The sequence below is a fragment of the Homo sapiens genome, chromosome 12 (genome assembly GCF_000001405.40).
Source record: "Homo sapiens chromosome 12, GRCh38.p14 Primary Assembly".
Lineage (NCBI taxonomy): Eukaryota > Metazoa > Chordata > Mammalia > Primates > Hominidae > Homo > Homo sapiens.
In genome coordinates, this window is record NC_000012.12 from 108,495,590 (window position 1) to 108,497,267 (window position 1,678).

Consider the following 1,678-nt stretch of genomic DNA (forward strand, 5'->3'; position numbering starts at 1 on the left):
TTGGTTTTCAGTAATTTGAGGTGTGGCTGACATACAATGCCCAACGACCAGGCATGCTCAACATCATACACTACCTCACTCAGTCCCACCCAATAAAAAACTGTCCCATCCCAAATGTCAAAAGCGCCCCAACAGATGAACATTCATCTGCTTCCAATCTCTCACTTGACAGATGAGGAATTGAGGCCCAGAGAGGGAAAGTGACTTGCTCAGGGCAACACAGCAAGCAAGTCACAAAGATGGGGCTAGAATGCTGGTCTCTTCATAGCAGCCCTGGAATCTTAATTCCTCTTGAAACCTAAAAGAGAACATTCTAAACCCCAAAGTGCAAAGTCCCTTCTGGAATTCTAGAAGGGGGAGCCAATTCCCTCTCTACCCTGGGTGAAGTGGGGAGAAATCAAACTTGAAGACATCAGAGGCTACAGCCGAAAGCAGATGTGCAAACAAAGATAAGGGAGACAGTTTTCACCAGACAAATTCACGCCCTGCTCAGTTTAGACATTAAAATGAACTAACTTAATTTCATGCCATATGCAAATCCTTACCAGCTGTCAGCTCTGTAATCACAGGAGACTTAATGTAATAACTAAACAAGAACAAAAACGCAGCAAATACAGGCTCTGGGCAAGTCCATTGACAGCGGGTTTTATGTTCCTGAGAACTCAGCAAGTGCAGAGCGTTTATGGCGGACATCTGGAAGGAGCTATGTGCCCAAACGCCTGCCATCTCCTTCACAAAAATGCCTGCAGCGATAATAAATAATGGCTAAGAACTGATCTGGCCATTGCGTACCCTGATCTTCCATGTACTGTGAACATCTCCCTCTAGGCTCTACAGCTTTTCTCCAATTGTCAGGAGCCAGCTAGGTCCAGCCATCTGGACCGAGAGCTCAGAAGTAGCCAATAAATGTCTCAGGCTTCCTGAATTCAAGTCCCCCACCCGGAACCTAAGGGGTGGGAAGATGGCTGCTGCCTTGTAGTGGGGGGCTTCTCTGGCCAGAGGACCCCACATTCCTCCAATGGCCCAAGTTAACAGTCCTAATTGCAAACATCAAATGCTACTTACTGGGGGCCAGGAACCAAGCACACCACTTTCTGTGCATTATGTCCATGTTACCCAAGGTGTGGAGGATGATTTAAGGTCATTCATTCATTCATTCAACAAACAGTTATTAAGCACTTATCATGTGTCAGGCACTATGCTGGGAATATAGCAGCAAACAAAAATCTCTGTCCTCAGGAAGCTTCATTTCTCGTGGAACAAACATTTTTAAGTACAGTTAGGTTGTATGTTAGATAAAAACACTTGCAGCCAGGGATGGTGGCTCACACCTGTAATCCTAGCACTTTGGGAGGCTGAGGTGGGTGGATCACTTGAGGCCAGGAGTTTGACACTAGCCTGGCCAACATGGTGAAACCCTGCCTCTACTAAAAATACAAAAAATTAGCCAGGTGTGGTGGCGCACACCTGTAGTCCCAGCTGCTCAGGAAGCTGAGGCAAGAGAATTGCTTGGAAACCAGGAGGTGGAAGCTGCAGTGACCCGAGGTTTTGCCACTGCACTCCAGCCTGGGTGACAGAGTGACACCCTGACTCAAAAATAATAATAATCTCTGTACAAATGCTAGTATTATTATTATTATTACCAGTATGAGTGCTTCTAGCTACTTCCCCAGGAGCC